The sequence below is a fragment of the Homo sapiens genome, chromosome 4 (genome assembly GCF_000001405.40).
Source record: "Homo sapiens chromosome 4, GRCh38.p14 Primary Assembly".
Lineage (NCBI taxonomy): Eukaryota > Metazoa > Chordata > Mammalia > Primates > Hominidae > Homo > Homo sapiens.
In genome coordinates, this window is record NC_000004.12 from 16,068,496 (window position 1) to 16,092,924 (window position 24,429).

The 24,429-nt window shown below is 43.4% G+C and overlaps 1 protein-coding gene across 37 annotated transcripts in view, besides 3 other annotated features; it reads right to left on the bottom strand.

Moving 5' to 3' along the window:
- The window catches only part of PROM1 (prominin 1), a 115,796-nt gene extending 100,268 nt beyond the window's left edge, over positions 1 to 15,528 (bottom strand). For 15 of the 37 annotated variants that reach the window (NR_199807.1, NR_199806.1, NM_001441174.1 and 12 more), the window contains exons 1-2: positions 15,483 to 15,528; positions 7,192 to 7,623 (exon numbers count right to left, since the gene is read on the bottom strand). Coding sequence is in view for 34 of the 37 variants with exons in the window: in NM_001441174.1 (NP_001428103.1) it covers positions 7,192 to 7,411 (220 nt within the window). In the remaining 3 variants the exon portion in view is untranslated. Of the gene's footprint in view, positions 1 to 7,191; positions 7,624 to 7,932; positions 9,809 to 13,609; positions 15,235 to 15,482 lie in introns of those variants that run through there. The other 22 variants (NM_001145852.2, XM_047416378.1, NM_001145847.2 and 19 more) reach the window with 9 other exon arrangements.
- Positions 7,933 to 8,650: an enhancer, noted in NCBI's record as "OCT4-NANOG-H3K27ac-H3K4me1 hESC enhancer chr4:16078051-16078768 (GRCh37/hg19 assembly coordinates)". NCBI's record gives its function as "activates a minimal SCP1, AML or CMV promoter by ChIP-STARR-seq in naive H9 embryonic stem cells {active_cell/tissue: H9 hESC(naive)}" and the evidence as "EXISTENCE:reporter gene assay evidence [ECO:0000049][PMID:30033119]".
- Positions 8,651 to 9,368: an enhancer, noted in NCBI's record as "OCT4-NANOG-H3K27ac hESC enhancer chr4:16078769-16079486 (GRCh37/hg19 assembly coordinates)". NCBI's record gives its function as "activates a minimal SCP1, AML or CMV promoter by ChIP-STARR-seq in naive H9 embryonic stem cells {active_cell/tissue: H9 hESC(naive)}" and the evidence as "EXISTENCE:reporter gene assay evidence [ECO:0000049][PMID:30033119]".
- Positions 10,714 to 10,803: an enhancer, noted in NCBI's record as "active region_21346". NCBI's record gives its function as "activates an Ori minimal core promoter by ATAC-STARR-seq in GM12878 lymphoblastoid cells {active_cell/tissue: GM12878}" and the evidence as "EXISTENCE:reporter gene assay evidence [ECO:0000049][PMID:35858748]".

A 24,429-nucleotide genomic window follows, 5' to 3' on the forward strand; every position in this document is an offset into this window, starting at 1 on the left:
CCATGTCCCTGTCTTACAAGGAAAGTAACTTTGAAGTGACCAATTCAACTTTGTGTTCTTTGTTTCTGCTTTCTTCAGCCCTTTTTCTGAATATTAAGCTAGGCTCTGCTGGACTCACTGCGACATTTATTCAATTTTGTGGAATAAAGTGTCGCTCAATTCTAGAATTGCAAATATAGCCAATTGAGATCTTTCAACTAAATTTGTTATAATTTTGTCCTTACAGCTAATAGGATTCTGTTACCTGTAATGGAGGGAGCTCTTATACTCACTATAACATCCTGATGGCCTCTCAAATTCCATGGAAACAAGGCTTAACTCCCCACCTTCCTCACTTCTACCAACTCACCCAACTCCACTCCCACACACACCAAATCCCACGAGCAAATCAGAATCACCTAAAATATTTTTACAAATAGGCCAACCATCCTAAAATCTAAATTTAAAAACATACCAATGCTGGGCATGGTGGCTCATGCCTGTAATCCTAGCACTTTGGGAGGCCAAGGCATGCGGATCACCTGAGGTTAGGAGTTCAAGACCAGCCTAGCCAACATGGCAAAACTCCATCTCTACTAAAAATACAAAAATTAGCTAAGTATGGTGGCGCATGACTGTTATCCCAGCTACGCGGGAGGCTGAGGCAGGAGAATCACTTGAACCCGGGAGGCAGAGGTTGCAGTGAGCCGAGATCGTGCCACTGCACTCCAGTATGGGCAACAAAGCAAGACTCTGCCTCGAAAAAAACAAAAAACAAAAACCAAAACAAAACAGGGCAGAGAATAATTTTAGAGAATTTATAGGAAACTAACAACAGAGGAGACGTATTTCCTTGTTTGTTCCATTAGAATAGCTCAGATCTGGTCAGAACTTATGCCAAGTTCATCACGGCCACATAAAATTGGAAGTGGCACTACTCATCATCCACATCAGACAATCTTTTACAATGCATACTTTTAACGTGCAAAAATTACTATTTTCCATACTAACCCATGGTCATTTTAAAAGCATCATAGTAAAATAAAAGAAAAATACACACAAGGCAGCTGTGTTTTATAGGAGATAAAACTAGTCCTAGAGATGGGAGTTTCTCAATATGCCACAAGCTAGTGTGTGCCTTGAACATGTAACCTCTTTCTGACTTAGTTTTCCAATCTGTTGAGGAGAATGTAAGAAATAATATCACCACTTACCACCATCATCTACCTTCCAAAGTTATTGGAAGTATTCAGGGAAAAACTTTAGACAAATTAGATTTAATAGCGTTCAACTGAGCAAAGAATGATTCATGAATCAGGCAGCCCTTGGAATCAGAATACATTCAGAACGACTCTGGGTCATATAACATTTATGGACAGATAAAGGAAAGTGATATGCAGAAAACACAACTGAGGTACAGGAACAGCTAGATGGGATACAGCTGGGTGTTTGCTTTATTTGAACAGGATTTGAACTAGTGGCCACCTGCGATTGGCTGAAACTCAGCTAATGCGATTGGGTAAGACTCAGCTACTTGTTATAAGAGTAGGTCGCAAGTCTGTTCACAAATGTGTTTAGGTCACAGTTTACTATGTATGGAGAAACATTTAGGCCAAACTTAAAATATGTAAGGAGGCAGCTTTAGGCTACATTTAATTTTTTAACAATTTCCCCCCTTTAGATCAACCTCTCAAGATTGAGAGGTTGGTAAATTTGGCAATTTTGAGAGGCTGACCAAAACTTTAGGCATTGAAGTCACTCTGTCTCCATCGTTAACGGACTTATTTCATCTCAAATCCCACTGGAAAACAGCAGAACAGTTTTGTAGGTGGAAACAAGGACACAGAAATAGAAAAAAAGAACCTGACTGATTATTTCAGGTTACTTGTTTTTTAGTGGAGTTTAGAGCAGAGGGGACTTTGTTATTATGATGCAATCTCCTGTTTTCAAGAGTTTAAAAAAAATTTGGTCTGTTTTGGGATCTCTCTGCTTCCTTAAAGTTTCAGTTTGATTACATCGCAGTTAGCATGATTGAGTCCATTTTGATTTGGACTGGTCTGTTGGGGCCAGTCTAGAACAAAGACCTCCCATAATTTTGTTTAACAAAAGAATCAAATGAGCAAACACTTAGCAAAGTAAGTCTTACAGCAGATACTGAGAACTGCAGAAAAGAACAAAGAAACCAAGAAAACAAGAGCCTGTCAGATGTAGATATTTTTGCAGAGAAGCAAAGACCAATCAGTAAACTAGCATCACATCCAAACCTTGGCTTCTAGACCCTGTTCCGCTACTGTCAGGCTTGCCAAGGGAACACGGCCCACTTAACCTCAAAAGTGAAGGGACTGTTTCTTACGAGGCAATGCCATGTAGAATGTTCCTAAGGGAACAGCAGCAAGGACAGTTCAATGATCCCTCCTGGAGACACCTTCTGATTCCTAAGTCTCCTCCCTACATCAATCGTGGCATCAAATTGATTGTAACTGTAATCCACTTTATGTCTAAGAGAAAAAAGGGTCTGAAAGTTAGACAACTTAGCCAAGATCATTCAGCAGTTAACAGGCAAGAGCTAGGATTTAAACCAAGTTCCTGGGACATGGAATGGACACTGCATCCATTTCCCCTATTCCCTTTTGTTTCATTTTGAATTCATTATTACCTCCCTCCAGACCACTACAAAAGCCTCCACCTCCCTGTGCTCTAACCTATCAGCTGTTGATGGGTTCTCTTCCCCAAACTGAATTCCACGTACACCCTGGCTGACAGCATCCAGCAAGGTGTACCGCAGAACGCAGGGACTTTCAATAAATGCTTGTCCAACAAATGAAACCTCTGCTGGAAGGCTTCCTCACCTTCCTTCTCTCTCTAAAACTCCCTGGAGATCAAGGTCCTCCAGCTCTGGTTCTCCCTAACTTTGGTCAATTTATTCCATGAATACCTATTTCACCCTCTGTCACGTCCTGAATATCTGTGTCCCCTGACATTTCTGTGTTGAAGCGTTAACCCCTGACATGATGGTGTTTGGAGGTGGGGATTCTGGGAGAGGTAATTAGGTTTAAATTAGGTCATAAGGGTGAGACCTTCATGATGGAATTAGTGCCTGATGGGATTAGAGAAAGAGAAGATATCTTTTCACCCTCTCTCCAGGAGCCTGCACCCAGGAAAGAGCATGTGAGCACACAGCGAGAAGGTGGCTGTTCACAAGCCAGAAAGTGAGCCTTCCCTAGACAGCAAATCTGCCAGCACCTTTATCTTAGACATCCCAGCCTCCAGCACTCTGAGAAATAAATGCCTGTTGTTTAAGTTACCTAGTCTATGGTATTATTCCAAGAAACTGAATGGAGTAGGACACTCATATTGGAACCACAGTCTCCTACATGCCCTAGACATGCCCTACTCTCTACCTGGAACACCCTGTCCCTAACTTCCTCTGATCACCCTGCCACCAATATCCTTTCAGGTTTGAATGAATGAACAAGAGACTCTTCTCAAAGGTAAGGCACAGCTCTCTTCTTAATGAGCCTAAGCCCCCTGTGTAGAGTAATCCTTTTGCAGCTTCAGGCCAAGGCAAGCATTTATGAAATACCCACAGCAGGTTCTAGAATACATTCTGCCATGTCAACACAGGGGTGGTTACCTGTGTTCCTTGTCTAATTTAAACTAATCTCTTCTGCCCAGGAAGTAAGGCTTTGTCTCAAGTCCCAGCTGAATAAGACCTTTCCATTTTATGTTTATTAAGCTGGAACTTGAGAAAAAGCCTTACTTCCTGGGGATACAAGAAGGGTTTCTCTTAGAGTTTCAAATGCAAAATTTGGCAAACCAATTGATTGGACACAGAATATAAAAGTGAAAAACTTTCCAGTCAGATGGTAAGAAAAGAGGAAGCACAGGCTCCAGGGCTGTCCCTATCTCTTCTATTCCTTGACCTGTACTGGAACTTTGCATTCAAAGCACCACTACTCTTGAAATCACCTTTGCAAAAATTATAACTGAGAAAATTATTACAGTGAAAGAGATCTGACCTAACCAACTCCATCTTGCTTCTAACCTCCAACCTATCCTTATTCATTCCTGGCCATAGGCCCAGCTAACTTTGGGAGGAACTTAGTTTATAGTTTAACTTTGAAACAAAGACAGTAACAGACCTTTCCCAAGACAAACCGCTTCTTGATGGGTGACTACCCTGCTCTTGCAGGACTAAAAAATTAGCCACAAGATTAGAAATTATGGTTTAGGAGTTATACAGCTAGAGGTCACAAAGTTCTAAACCTCCCAGTTGCTCCTAGGGACAACATCACTGTTGTAAAGCCTAAAATCAGTGCTTGAGATACTTTGCAGATACTTTGCAGAGTACTTTGCAGACCCTGTGTTTTGAGGCATCAGCTGATGCCACCCAGATAGATAAACTGGCTCACCTGGTCTTGTGACCCCCACCCAGGAACTGACAGTGCAAGAGGACAGCTTCTATTCCCTATGATTTCATCTTCTACCCGACCAATCAGCACTCCCCACTTTCTAATCCCCTACCCACCAAATTATACTTAAAAACCCCAATCCCTGAATTTTGGGGGAGACTGCTTTGAGTAATAAAACTCCAGCCTCCCATTCAGCTGGCTCTGCTTGAATTAAACTCTTTCTCCACTGCAATTCCTCTAAATTGATATATCGGCTGTATCTGGCCAGCAGGCACGAAGAGCCCACTGGCCAGTTGCACGCTTTCAAATGAAAGGATATATCTATGGGAGAATAGCTTCTATGAAGATATTACTCCACAGACGACCTGTCCTGAAGTCTTGTGTTTGGTTAATGTACTAAGGTATTAAACTAATAAACAATATATAGGACTCAATCATGCACATGCTCTCACTCTTTCTGTTTTGTTTTTTGCATCTTCAATTATGAGGGCATCTATTTATGACTTGGTACTTGTGAAATGCATTGGCCCCAAATGGAAAAATCATGATTATCTTATATGTGTCCTCTACATTGCAAAGCACCCAGTGGGCACTTTAAGACCACTAGGAAATGTAGTAACTAGGTGAAAGAATACAAATAGGATGATGGAAGAAAACCAACACCCCAAGATTCATCTGTTAAACTCAATATTATATTACTTAAGCAACCTAATAATTTTTCCTCCCAAAGAGGTAATGCTGGTCTGCCCTGGTCTACTGTTGAAAGTTGAGAATTTCCTTCTCCAAGGTAATAAGTATTGATGAAGGTCAAGAGACAAACTAGGCTAATACCCTCAGATTACATTAGGATTACAATTCTTCAGTTCCCTCCTTCGGTCTAACAATGTTGTTGCAGTTCAAAACCTTGTAATGCATTGGAAGTTGTGTAAGCTAAAAGACATCTTCGAACTTGATCACCAGAATGAAGACCTTAAAATACATTGCTTTTCCTTATTAAAAAAAAAAGTATGAGGAAACCTTCCAATCAAATCTAAAGGGACCAAAATAGAGCAACATATGGAAAGAGATTATGGGATTAACTAATTACATGATATGCCTTAGAATGAGACACGGGAAGCTTTCCAGTCTTTTTGAGGAAATGATTGTAAATTCATATTCGACAACTGAATTCTATGCCTTTTATATTAAAACAAAACCAAGAAGCAAAGACTAAAAACATTAGTAGGAAACTAGTTTAAAAGGATGAATAAGACCTAGTATCTGATAGCACAACAGGATGACTATAGTCAATAATAATGTAATTGTACATTTTGAAATAACTAAAAGAGTAATTGGATTGTTTGTAACACAAAGAATAAATGTTTGAGGAGATAGATACACCATTTTATATGATGTGATTATTACACATTGCATGTCTGTATCAAAATATCTCTTGTACCCCGTGAATATATACACCTACTAGGTACCGACAAAAATTAAAGAGTTTTTTTAAATAAAAATGTTAGTAGGTTATTTTATTCAGTAACACATATTAAGTCTCCAAATAAGCCAAGAGATGTCTATTCAGAAGAGTGAATTTGCATCCAATGTTAAGAAATAAACTCTAATTTTCTACTTCTGTCTTTGGAATTTCCAAAGTTAGTATTTTTAACAGCAACATAAACAGTAAGTAGCATTCGTTCAGGATTCTCTTCAATGCCAATAACCATTCAAAGAGATTTGTTTTGGTGAACTGAAATTTAAATTAGCAAAAATTGACAACTATACTTCAAGCTGTTTTAATTGCCCTAAGACAAATAAGTGTTAAAAAACCAATACAAATGTATTTTAATGAAAATATATAAACTCCCCATAATATAAACATGTGATGATATTCACTAAATACATCCTGTCTCTCTTCCTCCCTCTCTCTCACACACAGGCATGTACACACACCAGTAGGACTCTTACAAACAGTAGCTGAACAGCTAAGGAAAATGATAAGAAAGATTACAGCGAATTCTATAATCAATGATTGTAATCAAATCTTTGTAACTAAAAGAACAGGCTTAGGATGGACTTACTGTTAAGCCAATCAAAAATTTAGGTGCCAAACCCTAGTAGCAGATATTTCCCACAGGCTATTTTTACTTTCATAATCCCTTTTCTATGAACACATACCCTGAATTCAGAAGAGTATGGAAAACAACAAACATTAAGAAGGCGAAAATGACAAACAGCACTGTGTGTGATGAATAACAGCACTATGGCATGACAGTTCTGGAAAGTGCCAATCCTCTTCCTCACACCCAAGCTCTTAGAAATGAAGAAAACAGCTGATCAAGTAAACATGTTTGTCCTTACCCTAAGCAATGTCAAAATTTGCATATTGTGGTGGGCAGAAGAGAGTTAAATTTTTAAGCGATGAGGTGGCCATCAGTTGCTAGTTATTCGTTTCTCCTTTGATGACACACAATTTGCATTTTTACCCTAACTTTACTCTAACTTTTACCTTTGGTAAGTGCCTTAGAATAATTCATTGCTCTAACCCAAACAAAGCAAAACCAAGCAAAACAAAAGGTAAAGAAGTGGAAAACCAACATAGCAACATCGTTTGCTTCCATTTCTTATAATAACATTCCTCGCAACCTATGTAACCTGGTACAAGTCTTCTTAACTTCTGTCTAAATGCTTTCTGCTTCTGTGCAAAGCAATCGCTAAAATACTGAATATATTATATATTGATTGCATTGACATTAAAAAACAATATTGTGGGTGCGTTTGGAGATAAATCCTATCTTTCCCTGCCATCAGCACTTACCTTCTGGGAAATCACGCGGCTGTACCACATAGAGAAAGATATGCACTAGTTCAAAGAGAATGCCAATGGGTCCAGCTTTATGGGAGTCTTGGGTCTCATAATTTGTTGCAGGCAATTCATAATTCCAAGCCTTAGGAGCATCTGTGGATGAAGGCTGCCCTCCTGAAAAGGAGTTCCCGCACAGCCCCAGCAGCAACAGGGAGCCGAGTACGAGGGCCATAGCTAGCAAGATCCTCCAAACATGAGGTAGAACTTGGTGCCTCCTGCCTCAGAGCTTCTGGAAGCCTTGGGGAAGGCAAGCGTGTTCCTGGGCAGAAGAGGAGCAGGAAGCACTGGATCTGCTGAATCTTCAGTTTTCTGTCTGAGGCTGGCTTGAGGCGAGGGATGCGGAAGAATGTTCTCCAAGGGGGTCATTCACTCAAGGCACCATCCCTGGCAGGGAGAGAAACAGCAGCAGAGTCATCAATGCGTGTAAACTGCCTGCACCTGGAGCTGCCCGGAGAGGACGCTGCAAAGCTTTAGAGCAAGGCCTCCAGCCTAATCCGGATGGGTGGGTGGAAACCAAGCACACAACCTGCTCCAGAGCCACAGGGCAGGTGCTGGCATCAAAGCCATGACTCACAGAAGGTCCCTTCTCAGGAGGGCCAGACTCAGAACACAGACCCTTTATGGGTTCGGGAAATACTAAATATTGTAGAGAAAGCTTGAGATCTTGGAAACTAACATTTATTGAGCACTTACTATCTTCCAGGCACTGTTCTCCATGCTTCATAGATAGAAACAAGGTCCTCCTTGTTTAAGGCATTATTCCATTTTGCAGATGAGGAAACTGACACAGAGAGGATTCTGGTGACTTGCCCAAGGTCACAGGTGATTAACCATGTGGCCAAGAGTCAAACCCACTAGTTTGCCTTCAAAGTCCAAGATCTAACTATGACATCAAGACACTGTCCCTTCAGTGCCCTCCCTAATGTGGGGAAAAGAAAGAGAGATCAGATTGTTACTGTGTCTGTGTAGAAAGAAGTAGACATAGGAGACTCCATTTTGTTCTGTACTAAGAGAAATTCTTCAGCTTGAGATGCTGTTAATCTATAACCTTACCCCCAACCCCGTGCTCTCTGAAACATGTGCTGTGTCCACTCACGGTTAAATGGATTAAGGGCTGTGCAAGATGTGCTTTGTTAAACAGATGCTTGAAGGCAGCATGCTCGTTAAGAGTCATCACCACTCCCTAATCTCAACTACCCAGGGACACAAACATTGCGGAAGGCCGGAAGACCGCAGGGACCTCTGCCTAGGAAAGCCAGGTATTGTCCAAGGTTTCTCCCCATGTGATAGTCTGAAATATGGCCTCGTGGGAAGGGAAAGACCTGACTGTCCCCCAGCCCGACACCCGTAAAGGGTCTGTGCTGAGGAGCATTAGTATAAGAGGAAGGCATGCCTCTTGCAGTTGAGACAAGAGGAAGGCATCTGTCTCCTGCCCGTCCCTGGGCAATGGAATGTCTCGGTATAAAACCCGATTGTATGTTCCATCTACTGAGATAGGGGAAAACCGCCTTAGGGCTGGAGGTGGGACATGCGGGCAACAATGCTGCTCTGTAAGGCATTGAGATGTTTATGGGTATGCATATCTAAAGCACAGCACTTAATTCTTTACCTTGTCTATGATGCAGAAACCTTTGTTCACGTGTTTATCTGCTGACCTTCTCTCCACTATTATCCTGTGACCCTGCCACATCCCCCTCTCTGAGAAACACCCAAGAATGATCAATAAATACTAAGGGAACTCAGAGGCCAGGATGGATCCTCCGTACGCTGAACGCTGGTCCCCTGGGCCCCCTTATTTCTTTCTCTATACTTTGTCTCTGTGTCTTTTTCTTTTCCAAGTCTCTCGTTCCACCTAACGAGAAACACCCACAGGTGTGGAGGGGCAACCCACCCCTTCAATTAACCATGCGGCCAAGAGTCAAACCCACTAGTTTGCCTTCAAAGTCCAAGATCTAACTATGACATCAAGACACTGTCCCTTCAGTGCCCTCCCTCTCAGGCTCTAGTACGAGCCACTGGGGCCCCAGCAATCCAGTACATGCTTATATGCTTATTTCTTCTCCAAGTGTGTGTTGTTCTCTTTGCCGCTGGAGATATATCTTACTCTGCCTTATATTCTACTTATTTACTCACTAATCTCATTTCAAACATCCCCCTCTCCACCTCACCCCGAATCCAAAGTAGAAGGGCATGGCCTCAAGTCTAGGGACCACACCGTTTGAGGCTGGACACATGTGCAACACTGGAACCTGTCTTTCTAATAAGCTTACCAAGTAATCCTGATGGAAATCTTCACCCTAAGTCACCACCTCTACAACTAGGGGTCTCAGAGATGAAAGCCAGGGCAGAGGGAGACTCTTACCTACCCCTTGGGAGACGGAGAAAGACACAAGAATCCTAAAAGCAGCTGTGGCTCCAGCATCTGGGAAGGGAATGGGACAGAAAGTGCCTCCAAGATGGACTCTGTCCTACTCTTCTTTCAATCCCCAGACCTTAACACTGGGCATGGCACGTAGTCGGTGTTTAGTAAGTGCCTGCTGAGCAGCTTGTTTCACTCATGGCACCATCCCTGGCAGGGAAAGAAATAGCAGCAGAGTCACCAATGCATGTAACCTGCCTGCAGCAAGAAGTGCCCCAGACAGGAGGCTGCAAAGCTTTAGAGCAGGGCCTTCAGCCTAATCCAGGTAGGTGGGTGGAAACCAAACACAGCCTGCTCCAGAGCTACAGGGCAAGTGCTGGCGTAGAAGCCAAAATATGTTATTTCCTTGTGCGGTTTCATGAGACTAGGCAAATCAGCACAGAACCTGGAAGGATCCCAAGTGTACCACTCTTCCTCTCTGTATTAAGTGTCCTGGAGCAAGAGCAAGCTGCTGTCACTTTGTGAGCTAGATACATACTTACTAACTTTCAAGATAAGTACAGGGTGCTCCTGAAACACATACTGTAAGAAAGGGAAGGGGGATGATGAAGAAGGTGACATACTTTGCAAGAAGCCAGAGGACCCACTACCAATATTCCAAGTCAAAGAAAGCTTTGGACAACAGATGGGATTTCTTGAGCTATTTGAACAAAGATGTTAATTCATATCTAATCCCTCCATTGCCTCATCTTCTAAGTCCTGTCCCACTCCAATTACTCCTGCACAAAGCTACCAATACAAGGGCCCCAAATTCTTCCTTTGTCAAATCATGGGCTGCTCAGATCCCAAGTGGCTGCCAGTACTAACCTCAGGCCCACGCTTCAGGTTACGCCCACCGTCACATCCACAATAGACACCTTGACCCTGGTGTTTCCAAAGGGCTCCCTTCAAACATCTACTGCAAGCACAACACACCACATGTACACTTTATCTTGGTTTTTTTTTTTGCTAAAGGACAGGCAGAGAGCTAAGCCTCCAGCACAGCAGCTGGAAGGATTAAAGGCTCAGATGCTGAGAAGGCCCACTTTCTGGTAATTCCACCAAACCTCAGCCCAGGACAGAGAGAAACTGCCAAGGGAAGAACTATGAACAAACAGGCTCTCCAACTCCCTCAGTGACAAAGCAGGGGAAGGGAAATTCCCAGTGAAGTGAAACATAACTGCTCACCGCAGCAAAGATGGGAGACAATGACTTGAGATAGACAGCAACTGCAGTTGCACTTCCAGATTTCTTTACATCTTGCTCCAAAATGTAGGTCCCTCTGAAGTTTTAAAGTACATTTTAAGAAAGTATTAATATCTCACTAACTATGAAATACTAGAAACTGATTAAAGTCAAGTCAAAGAGGAAGAGTTTTTTATCTCGGGTTTAATAGGTTGTGCCAAAAACAGAAGCTCTGAGTATTTACCAGCTAAACCCCACTAGGTCCGAGAGCCACTGAGAGTAGCATCTGTCTCGGGATAAAATGGGGTGTTTAGTTGAAATGCAGACTATTAATGGACCTAATTTCTGGGATGAAACCCATTAATCTGCATTTTTAACAAGCTTTCCTGGGGACTGATCCTTCAAACAAAGTTTGAGAACAGTTCTGTTCCTGGAGTACTCTGATCCTGGAGTACCCGCCTAGTCAATTCATGTCACTTTCCAAGGACACTTCAGGCTTCCCAAACACATTGGAAAATAACACATGTAAGGTGAAAGCTCCCCAAATGCCCTTTTCATATTGCTTTGAATTGATCTACCCCAGCTGCTGTGCAGGTCCCTGGCTTATTTCTGTATCCCCAGAGCCTGGAACACAGTTGGTACTCAATGAAGAATTGCTACCAGCCTGGGCAACATAGAGAGGCCCTGTCTCTACAAAAAAAAAAAAAAAAAAAAAAAAAATTTAAATTAGCAAACGTAGTGGTGCACAACTGTAGTCCCAGCTACTCGGAAGTCTGAAGCAGGAGGATTACTTGAGTCCAGGAAGCTGAGCCTGTAGTGAGCCATAATCATACCACTGCACTCCAGCCTGGGCGACCTTACATGATTTTGAGCCTGGAGTCCAGAGAACTGCATTTCAATACTGGTTTAAAAGCAAATATGGCCCGGGCGTGGTGGCTCAAGCCTGTAATCCCAGCATTTTGGGAGGCCGAGGCGGGCGGATCACGAGGTCAGGAGATCGAGACCATCCTGGCTAACATGGTGAAACCCTGTCTCTACTAAAAATACAAAAAAAATTAGCCAGGTGTGGTGGTGCACACCTGTAGTCCCAGCTACTCGGGAGGCTGAGGCAGGAGAATCACTTGAACCCGGGAGGCGGAGGTTGCAGTGACCTGAGATCATGCCACTGCACTCCAGCCTGGGTGACAGAGACTCCATCTCAAAAAAAAAAATTAAAAATGAAAAAGCAAATATGGTGATCAATCACCTTCATTTCTTCTTTTCTTCTTTTGATGGAACTTCTCAGAATCTTTCTTTTTAAAGAAGAGCTTTGTAGTGGATTTTTGTCATCTGGAGTGCTTTTGGCGGGGGCATGGGGGATACCCAACATCTGAGACCACGTTTGTGAGCTGGGTGGGAGGCAGCCCTGCCTTGCATTGTGAGGTCAGCTGAGGCGCCCAAACTGTGTCCTGGTGGAGCTGAGCCATGCTGGGCCAATCAGAAGCTTTCTTCTGGGCCTGGGCCTGCGCACTCTGAAGCAGGACAGTATCTAATTCATTCCAGCAATGATGGCAGCAATGCCAGTAGCCACATCCAGGGTCCTGTTCTGGCAGCCGCAGCCACCCACCCATCAGGGGTCCTGTGGCATGTCCTAGATTCCTAAGCCTGGCTAGCCAGCCTTGCTGCCACTTACCTAAGCCACCCAGGGACCATCCTTTCAAGAAGTCCTTTTATATATATACATATACATATATATATGTATATGTATATATATTTTTTTATTATACTTTAAGTTCTAGGGTACATGTGCACAATGTGCATGTTTGTTACATGTGTATACATGTGCCATGTCGGTGTGCTGCACCTATTAACTCGTCATTTACATTAGGTATATGTCCTAATGCTATCCCTCCCCACTCCCGCCACCTGACAACAGGCCCCGGTGTGTGATGTTCCCCTTCCTGTGTCCAAGTGTTTTCATTGTTCAATTCCCAACAAACGGTGCTGGGAAACCTGGCTAGCCATATGTAGAAAGCTGAAACTGGATCCCTTCCTTACACCTTATACAAAAATTAATTCAAGATGGATTAAAAACTTAAATGTTAGACCTAAAACCATAAAAACCCTAGAAGAAAACCTAGGCAATACCATTCAGGACATAGGCATGGGCAAGGACTTCATGTCTAAAACACCAAAAGCAATGGCAACAAAAGCCAAAATTGACAAATGGGATCTAATTAAACTAAAGAGCTTCTGCAGAGCAAAAGAAACTACCATCAGAGTGAACAGGCAACTTACAGAATCCAAGAAGTCCTTTATCTGATAAAAATTACCCCCGACTCAGCTTCCACTGTTTTAACAAAGTATCTTGACCCTTAACAAATCTCAGAAATAGCTCTTTGCTCCCTGAAAAACCTATTTCCTTTATATTTTAAACAGTACCAACTTGGTTTAAAGTTTTCAGCTTGTCCTCTGATGCATTTGTTCACCTCATTGTACTAAAACACAAAGAAACTGTCTCGTATAAAAATCAGAAGGAAGTTTAGAAATCAGAAAGAAGTTTAGAAAAGTTTAGAAATCAGAAGGAAGTTTAGAAAAAAATTATGGAACACATGAAAAAAAAAACAAGAATAAACTAAAGGGCACTGCTGAATAGACAGACAACAGCAACAGTAAGGGGGCTCTGGTCCCCCTTACTAACTCTGCCAAGATGACAGTTGTTTGAATTCTCCAACCCTTCTTCTGCTCCTCTGTCAAAGGAGGATTTCGCATAGGGTTCGCAGGCTAGCGATCTAATAGGTAAAGCACCTGGCACGCAGCTGGAAGGCTATCTGGGGTCTGTCTGCTTCTGCTAGCATCAATACTCTGAGCTCAACTCCACCGGGGCTCCTAGGATAACCGGGACAGAAAGGACGGTGAGAAAAGAAAAATGAGTAACATCACACAAGTTGAATCATATGAGGTTGACGATATTCACATCTTCCATCCAAAAAACCGACAATTTCTTATGATTCAACCCAACATATCGCAGCGGTTGTTCGTGTCGCATGAGTCTCGGGGGGCACTCAAGAACTACGATCGTGCACTTGCTTTCTTAACAAAGAACAGCTGCCGCCCTCAGGAACTCCAGCAAACCTTTCTCCAGAAAGGTCAGTCGCCTTAGCGGGCTCCAGGAGCAACCTGTTGCAGAATGAAGCCTGGGGCGCCGGCTTCCCCGCCCTTTACCTCCAAACCACCTCCAGGCCAAGCCCCCTCCAGGCCTAGCTCCCTTCTGGGCGGAAGCCTCTCGCGAGCTGCGGGACACAAAAGAATGAGCGGCGGGGCGGGCGCGGGAAGCCAAGAGACTCCAGGAATTCGCAGCCGCGCAGGGGAGGGGGTTGCCGGAGTAACTTGGCTGCTCTGAGCGCGTCGGCGCCAGTTCCCCGCCGCGGCCCCTGTTGGGCACCGATCGGGGGCGATCTTGCCAGAGAGAAGGGGTTCTGGAGCTAGTTCCTCCCTCCGATCCGACTCCCTGCCCCTCCAGACACGGGCTTTCGGGGAAACTGATCCCGAGCCTCTGACTTTCTACAGCCGTGAAGCTCCTGGTCTGTCCACGCTCCTCTTTGTTGTCCGGTCGGCGTGTTCTGGCAGGGTGCGCCTTGAGCACCCCAGTTCTCCATCTAGCGATAGCCGCGGGTCCCCGCGCATGCAAGCAGAAGGGCCGTGGAGCGAGAGGCTGGGAAGGTGCTTCAAGCCAGGGGTGCATGCTTTCTCCCACGGACGCGGGGAGATGGCCTCGCTTTGTACCCCCATATCCCTACTCCCGCTGTGGTCGGCTGCACAGTGTTGGCCCATTTCCGCACTCAGCCAGGGAAGCTCAGCGCCTCACGTCCCCGGGGCCATCCCTAGAGTTTCCTTTACCGCAGACTCGTTCCCAAGACCCTGGCGAGTCTCACCTCGGTCACCGTTCTCCCCGAGAGCGAGTCCGAAGTCTCTGGGGCCCCGGTCCAGTTCGCACACTCACCTCCGACTCCCGCTCCGGAACCACGGCCGCCGGCTACCCCCACCCCCGCCCCCATCCCCAGTGGATGGAAAGAAGACCCAAGCGGGGCGTCGCGGGCCACCACTCAGACTAAAAAGTTTGGGTTGGACGGGCACCGGCACCACCACGCTCTCCCCGCAGTTCCTCTGGCCCCCAGCCGCTGTCCGGGCCCGCACCACCTGCTGAGGGGCCAGGGAGGCGGCGCAGATGGCTAGGGTAAGGGGGGCGCAGAGCGAACCCGTCCACTCCTCACTGTACACCCCCAGTACAGTGGAAGGAGTGCGCTCAGCCCCGCGCCTGGTCAGCAGATGCCTCTCTCGCTCCGGGATGAGGACCCAGCTACTCACCGTGCACCCGGCTCCCGCTCCTGCTCCCGCCCTAGTCACCGCTGCCGCCGCCCTTCCCTTAGCTCGCCAGACCCTGGCTCGTGAATTATTTATGACCCGGCTTCTGGGACCACCGCGACGGCTTTCGGAGAGCCCGCCTCCCACTGCCGGCCGCGGAGGGGCTCAGGCGGCGCTGCGGCCGGACCCTCGGACGTGGCGGGAGGCAGGAGAAAGGCCCGGGTGCCCGGGGGGACCCGTTGCGGCTTCCTCTGTCCCGGACGGGGACCTAGGTATGGGGCCGCCGTAATGGAAAGGATTCCTTAAACATACTCACCGCGGCGGGAGAGCTGAGAGCATGGCCAGGTGCCGCGTGGGGATCTGCCTCAGTCACTTAAAGATCGCGAAACCCGAGCCCTGGACGCACTCTGATTGGACCGGCTGAGCTGCTTCGCCACGTAGCCCTGGGGCGCCCACCAGCACCTGGACAGCATCCATTTCCTGTAGAGGTGCCTGCTCAACCCCCTGCACTCCCTTCTTGCAACGCTTGCGCCTCTTTTCCCCCCGCAGAGTCCCTTACTTAGAATGCAGCTACCCTCCTAAAAACTCTCCTGTCTCATCCCGGCCGCATTAGACCCTTCTGTTGCCTAATCCCAATGCAATTTAAAACAAAACAAAACAAAACAAAACAAAACAAAAAACAAAAAAACAATCATTTGGATCCTTAGTGTGCAGCAGTACCAATGCTAGTGGCTGAAGCGGTTGAAAAACAGCATAAAGCCATATTCGCTCCCATGTGTACACACAGGCATCTGCTATAACGTGAAGCCACTGCAACTTCTTTTCTCACTGCCTATTGGTCTTCCCGCTCTGTGAGTTACAACTCAACCTCGGAGTCTTCACCTTGCTACTTAGCTGAGTGGTGGAAACCTGTCAGAAGTAATCACTCGGTGTCTAAGTGTCCTCACCAATTTGCACTTCACTCTTATTCACCACTTCTTATCTTGAATTGAGAATACTGTACTCTCCGGCAGGCAAAAAAAAGACTTAGGGAAGAAATGCACCTTCAGGATGGTGTCTAGCATACAGCAGGTGTTTAATACATGTTTGTGATATGGATAGACAGATGAAAGGATGGATGCACAAGCTACAAATGAATGATAGACAGGAACATTAAGTCAGTACCTTTTTCTTTTTACCCCAGAATCTAACATAAAACAGGTACTGGAAAATAAGCATTTTTTGTTTTTAATAGTTAGATTGATCTTGAGTGTGTATATTTCTAGACAAGAAATGTTAGTTCAGAAAACTTCCAAAAAGTACAGTAGGACATGGCAAGGTTAGATGGTTTGGCTCTGTGTCCCCATCCAAATCTCATATTGAATTATAATTCACTGGGAGAGGGACCTAGTGGGAGGTGATTGGATTATGAGGGCGGATTTCTCCCTTGCTGTTCTCATGATAGTGAGTGAGTTCTCAGGATATCTGATGATTTAAAAGTGTGTGGCACTTCCCCTTTGCTCGCTCTGTCTCTCCTTCTGCCATGTGAAGATGTGCTTGCTTTCCCTTCTTCCACCATAATTGTAAGTTTCCTGAAGCCTCTCTGGCCATGCCTACGGTACAGCCTCTGAAACCCAGTCTCAGGTAGTTCTTTATAGCAATGTGAGATCAAACTAATATGGGTGGAAAACAAATCTCTTCTAATCAGGGCAGATTTCCCCTCTGCAGCCCCTGCAGGTCAGAAGTTTCTGGTTGAACATCTGCTGGGGTCCCATAAACCTTCTCCTAGATAGCACTTTTAGGCTGGAGCTAGCAAAAGAGGTGATTTCTCAAAGGAGTGGGTCCTGATCTCCGTCAAAGTTTGGTCCCGCCTCTTTTAATCGCTGTGACTTTGGCTGCTTAATATTTCTCTGAGCCTCAGTTTCCTGGTCTGCAAAATGAAGACAATTATAACTCACAGGGCTCATTTTCATTCCTAATAATATCAACAACAATAGTATCAGTAGAAAGGGGTGAAGCAAGATGGTCAAATAGAAGGTTTGACCACCCACCCCCCACCCCGGCTAGGAACACAATTTAACTGCTATCTACACACACAAAAAGCACCTTTATAAGAACCAAAAATCAGGTGAGTAACCACAATACCTGGTTTTAATTTCATATTACTGAAAGAGGCACTGAAGAAGCCAGGAAAGACAGTTTTGATTTGCCAATGCCGCCAGTCCTCCATCCCCCAGCAGCAGCAGCCTTGTGGCTTGGGAAAGGGAGAGTGCAGTGATTGGGAGACTTTGAATTGAACTCAGTACTGCTCTGTCATAGCAGAAAGCAAAACTAGGCTGAACTCAGCCAATTTCCCTCAGAGGAAATAGCCCATACCAGTGGTGAAAACTTGAGTTTCAGTAAAGTGCTCTGGGGCCCCAAATAACCTTAAAGGCAGCCTAGGCCACAAGGACAGCAACTCCTAAGCAAGCCCAAATGCTGAGCTCAGAGCCAGTAGACTTGGAGGGCATGCGACTTACTGAGACACCAGACAGGGGAGCTAAGGGAGTGCTTGTGACACCCCTACCCCAACCCCAGGTAGTGCTGTTAGTGGCTCTTCATCACTGCATGCCCTTTTCTAGCACTCATGCCTCTTTTACCCCAGCAGAGCTCTCTACTTGGAATGCAGCTACCCTCCTAAAAATGCTCCTCTCTCAAAAACTCTCAGCCACATTAGACCCTTCTGTTGCCTAATCCCAATGCAGTTAAAAAAACAAAACAAAAATAATCATTTGGATCCTTAGTGTCTGCATCAGTCCCAATGCTAGTGGCTGGAGTGATTAAAAACAGCACGAAGAGACCCATTCCTTCTGCTTGAAGAGAAGAGGGGGAAGAGTAAAGAGGACTTTGTTATCTTGAATATCAGTTTAGCCACAGTAGGACAGGGCATCAGTCTGAGTCATCAGACCCCCATCCCAGGTCCTAACTTGTGGATAACATTTCTAGACACATCCTGGGCCAGAAGGGAAACTGCTGCCTTGAAGGGAAAGAAACAGTCTGGGCAGGACCCATCACCTGTTGGCTAAAGAGCCCTTGGGTTCTCAATAGCCAGAAGCAATACTCAGGTAGTACACTGTGGTTCTTGGGTGTGACTCTGAGATCTGCTGGTTTCAGGTGAGACCCAGTATATTCCCAACTGTGGTGGCTAATGTGAGAGACTCCTTCTGCTTGACAAAAGCAGAAGGAAAAGTAAAGAGGATGTTTTCCTTCCCCTTAGGTACCAGCTCAGCCACAGGGAGGTAGAGTACTAAGCAGGCTCTTGGGGTGGTCTTCAATGCCCAGACACCAATGAATATCCAAAAGCTTCCAGACCACCCAGGAAAACATGACCTCACCAAACAAACTAAATAAGTCCCCAGGGAACAACCCTGGAGAAATAGAGATATGTGATGTTTCAGACAGAGAATTCAAAATCAATATCTTGAAGAAACTCAGAGAAAATTAAGATAACACAGAAAAAGAATTCAGAATTCTATCAGATAAATTTAATAGAGATATTGAAATAATTTTAAAGAATCAAGCAGAAATTCTCAAGTTTAAAAATGCAACTGACATACTGAAGAATGCATCAGAGTCTTTCAATAGCAGAATTGATTAAGGAGAAGAAATAGTGCACTTTTAAAGACAGGCTATTAGAAAATACAGTCAGAGAAGACAAAGAAAAAAGAATAAAAAATAATGAAGCATGCCTACAAGATCTAGAAAATTACCTAAAAAAGCAAATCTAAGAGTTACTGGCCTTAAAGACAAGGTCGAGAAAGAGATGGGGTAGAAAGATTATTCAAAGGGATAATATCAGAGAACCACTCAAACCTATAGAAAAGTATCAATATCCAAATACAAGAATTGTATAGAACACCTAGCAGATAAACCCAAAGATGACTACTCCAAGGCATGCAATAATCAAATTCCCAGAGGTCTAGGATAAAGGATCCTAAAAGCAGCAAAAGAAAAGAAAGAATTAACAAACAATGGAGCTGCAATACATCTGGCAGCAGACTATTCAGTGGAAACCTGACAGCCCAGGAGAGAGTGGCGTGACATACTTAAGCTGCTGGAGGGAAAAAACTTTTACCCTAGAATAATATATACAGCAAAAATATTCTTCAAACATGAAGGAGAAATAAAGACTTTCTCAGACAAACAAAAGCAGAGGGATTTCATCAACACCAGACCTGTCCTACAAGAAATGCTACAAGGAGTTATTCAATCTGAAAGAAAAGGATGTTAACAAGCAATAAGAAATCATCTGAAGATATAAAACTCCCTGGTAATCGTAAGTACACAGAAAAACACCGAATGTTATAACACTGTAACTGTGGTGTGTAAACTACTCTTATCTTAAGTAGAAAGACTAAATGATGAACCAATCAAAAATAATAACTACGACAACTTGTCAAGACATAGACAGCACAATAAAATATAAGGAGAAACAACAAAGAGTTTAGAAGCAAGGGGAGGAAGTTAAGGTGTAGAGCTCTTATTAGTTTTCTTTGTTTATGTAATCAGTGTTAAGTAATTACTAACATAAAATAGTGGGTTATAAGAAGATAGTATTTGCAAGGCTCACGAGAACTTCAAGTCAAAGAAACACAATGAATACACAAAAATAAAAAGCAAGCTATTAAATCATACCACCAGAGAAAATTACCTTTGCTAAAAGGCAGACAGGGAGAAATGAAAGAAGGAAGAGAAGACCCCAAAACAACCAAAAAGCAAATAAAGAGCAGGAGTAAGTCCTTACTTATCAATAATAATATTGAATTAAATGGACTAAACTCTGCAATCAAAAGACATAGAGTGGGCGAATGGATTAAAAAATAAGACCCATTGGTCTATTGCCTACAATAAACATATGTGACCTATAATGACACAAATAGACTGAAAATAAGGAACATAAAAAGATATTCCAAGCCAATGGAAACCAAAAAAAGAGCCGGAGTAGCTATATTTATATCAGACAAAACAGACTTCAAAACAAAAACTATCAGAAGAGACAAAGGTCATCATATAATGAGAAAAGGCTCAATTCAGTAAGAGGATCTAACAATTGTAAATGTATATGCACCAAACCCTTGAGCATCTAGACATATAAGGCAAATATTATTAGAGCTAAAGAGACTGCTAGACCTCAATACAATAACAGCTGGAGACTTCAACATCCCACTTTCAGCTTTGGACAGATATTCTAGACAGAAAATCAACAAAGAAACATCAGACTTAATCTGCACTGTAGAATGAGCCTCATAGATATTTACAGAACATTTCATCCGATGCCTGCAGAATAGACATTCTTTTCTGCAACACATGGATCATTCTCAAGGATAAACCATATGTTAGGTCAAATCAAGTCTTAAGACATTTTTTAAAAACCTGAAATAGCATCAAGCATCTTCCCTGACTACAGTGGAATAAAACTAGAAATCAATAACAAGAATGATTTTGGGGACAGATACCCCATTTACCCTTATGCCTTATTACACATTGCATGCCTGTACCAAAATATCTCACATAACCCATAAATATATGCACCTACTCTGTATTCACAAAAATTTTAAATTAAAAAAAAAACAGAAGTAGTGAGAGTAACACCCACACTTAACGAGCATTTACTATGAATGAGGCGCTGGGCCCAGTGCTTTAAATGAATTATTTTATGTAACCTTAGCAACAACAGCAGTTTGAGATCATATTATCTCTATCATAAAGATAAGGCTAAAATAGGTTCAGTAACCTGAGGTCACCAAGGTAGTAAGTCAAGCACTAAATTTGAACTCAGATCTGGCCCATGATCACCAATGCACCAGAAGATAACATAAAACCTTTTCAGGCCACTGCCACATTGGATTGAAATGGGTGGCTATCTGCCTTACGGTAGGGCACCAAATGCTTCAACTGTTTTCACCCATTTCCATACCATATACCAACATCTCCACCTGGACCATTGTGGTTGTTCAATAAGTGAGTGAATTAATAATAAACATAGAACACAATATTATGACCTAGTCTGGGCAGCCTTTTGCAGGCAGTGACAAGACCTAAGGATTTGTTCCATTCAATTCCACTTGGAACTCTCATTCTACAATCCAGCAATTTAGCTCAACTGAATGCCTATGTCATTTGTTACATGCAAGGCTAGAGGGTGAGATGTTTATTCCGACACACACACTCAGAGTCATTAGATGCAAAAGCTTAGATGTCCCTTTCTGAAATTACTGCTCATTTTTCCTGCCCAGATGAAATCTAATCATGAAATAGCATGATGTTCTAGAAAGAGAACTGGACTGAGAGCCAGGAGATTCATTCAGGCTCCATCAGCTGCCAACATGGGCCCTGGTAAGTCAGCAACCTTCCTGAGCCTTACACTCCTCATCAGCACAATAGCTGTGCTCAGTGACCACATGGGCTAGCGGCTGAGGAAAGGTTTTAGTTATTTTTCTCTGAGTCACTAAGACTAAAACAAAATAGGTTTGTGCTCAAATTATTCCAATTAACCTAATAATTTCTACCATGAATAACCATGCTTTAAAAAAAAAATTATGTGTTTGTATAACCAACACACATGGCAGGATATGACCCTGAAAGAAAGAGAGCTGTGTCATCTCATCACATGCTGCTCTGTTCTCTTAAGACTGAAATTTGTGTACCAGATAGTCAAGGAGAGAGGGAGAAGAAAGGAGAAGAGGAAGGAGAAAGAGAGAGAGGGGGATTGAATAGCTTCATGCAAGCCACAGTTGTCCTGTAAATATTTAACTTCATGAGTTCCTGTTCCTCTGGTCTTTTTGGTTTTTTTTTTTCCTTCCTTGCTCTGCACTTGGATACCAAAATAGCATTGCTGGTGTTTAATAACCAAAAGCCAGGAAAACATTCTTCTTGTACTTCAAGCACCTTCAGGTATGATTCGTAACTTGTCATCAAACCCATTCCACACTAACTCAAAGGCAGAGGAAGAAAACTTCAATCCAGCTTGAACAAAGGGGAGGAAAGGGCAAGATGGAGCCTCAGAGCTTGGATTCGGAATGTGAAAGCTGGGGAGCAGTTGGAAAATTCAGTCACACGTTGATGGGGGCTGTGAAGAGTAGTTTTATCTTTCACGAGTCAAAATCTGGTTTTCAATGATCATTTCAAATAAAGTTCTCATCTCTAGAGCCAGCTTTCATCTGTGCGTTTCCCTCTGACATCATTTTTAATATGCGCCAACTCCAATGGGGCTTTGTAACTTACCTTTAGTAACCATGTGGAAAAAAGGAGAGCAGCACAAAAAGCATCCGGGTACTTTCTCTCACTTGCTCCAGGAAGGGGAGATTCCATCCACCGAAGTGCTGTGGAGGGATTGCTGAAGCGGGCAGCCAGGAGAATTCCATAATTTCTGATTCTATAGTTGTCAATTTTTATCATAATCCATAAAAGTTTCACCCAACAACTTACAATTTATAGAACAGCAAAACATATGTCAATGATAAGCAATGTTTTACCTTTCTGGGAATAATTACTATGACTAGCTTTCTCTAAAGACTTATTAATTTGCCCTTATTCCCATCATCATCTGAAAGTACGTATTAAGCATCTGTTAGTCAGTCATTCCATCAGTAATATTCACTCTGCACCTATTATAGGTCGGAGTTAGGGACTCTAGTTACTGAAATGACCTCTGGCCCAGAACATACATGTGAAAATAAACTTTTTATCAAATGCTGTCTTTTTTTCATACTGACCCCTTGCATATTTACCCCATGTGAAACATTTTTCTTAAAAGCAGTCTCTGCAAAATTCTCTTCTGCTTCATATTTTATCTGCTACCTGAGCTACAATCAGATAATTATTTTAAACCCAGAAAACCTCATGCTAATTCAAGCACTCTTCCTTTTTGCCAGAGCAATCAAAGTGTTAAATTATAGTGCCAGCCAGCCACTTATATACAGAAGTGAAAAAGAATAGCAATTTTTATATAGTGGGAAAACCATGGGATGTGAAGGTCAAACAGACCTGGGAATGGGTCCTAGCTCTGCTATTCCATTCATTCTCTCATTCATTCACTTACTCATGCATTCAACAGATGTTGATTGTGTCATTTCTGCAGGACAGACTGAGCAAAGAGATATGGCAGAGAAGAAAACAAAGCCCCCTGCCCTCCCAGAGATTATCGTCTTACAGAGGAGAGCACTAAACCAGCCACCAAATCTATAGGCATGTCACTGTATAGCCTTAAATAAGTTCACCTTAAATACTTCAGCTCTCTGAATTTCAGTCTCCTCACCTATAAAATAGAGGTCTTGCAAAGATTAAATGAGGTTATATATGTGTAATACCTGGCACACAGTAGGCAATAAACGGTAGCTATTATTTCTGCTCTATTTCTTTGTCAAACTCTCTGTCACTCCCACCACATCCTCTTTTTAAAAATTTTTCCAGTTTCCTAAATTAATAATACAGGGCTATTGAATCCACAAGCTAAATCTTCATTTCACAAATATTTACATATTACATCTTGAGGATTTGGAAGGTTCCAGGCTAGAAAGATCTAAGGAGCTAGAAATATGCTGTAAGCCTGTAAGCGGGACCATCTAAGGGAATTACTCTCTATAATTACCCTCTAGGAATCACTGGAGTCTCGAAAGGTGAGTGCCTTGATTGTATTTCGATTGGCTAGGCTATATTTCAATTGGCTAGGCTATATTACAATTCTGCAAGAGTAGAAGTTAAATTTTAGAAGACCGATAGCAATGCTAATGAATGTTCTCCAGGAGGTATCAATTCATCTCTACCCTGTAGAAAAGATCCCAAACATAGAATTTTATTGCCCTATAGGATACTGAAAAGTTTTACATCTATTAGAAAATATTCATTTCAGGGGGCAGAGCAAGATGATCACATAGAGACCTCCACTGATCACCACGGGAACACCACATTTTAACAACTATCTGCATATAGAAAAGCACCTTCATGAGAACCAAAAATCAGGTAAGCAATCACAGTGCCTGGTTTTAACTACCTATCACTGAAAGAGGCACTGAAGAGGGTAGTAAAGACATCTTGAATCACTTATGCCACCCCCCAACATCCCTCAGAAGCAGCCATGTAGCATGGAGAGAGAATCTGCACATGGGGGAGAGAGAGCACAGTGGCTGGGGGCTTTGCATTGATCTCAGTGCTGCAAAGAGCAAGAGCGGAGAGGAAAACCATGCTGAACTCAGCCTGCGCCTACCCACAGAGGGAGCATTTGGATCAGACCTAGTCAGAGGGGA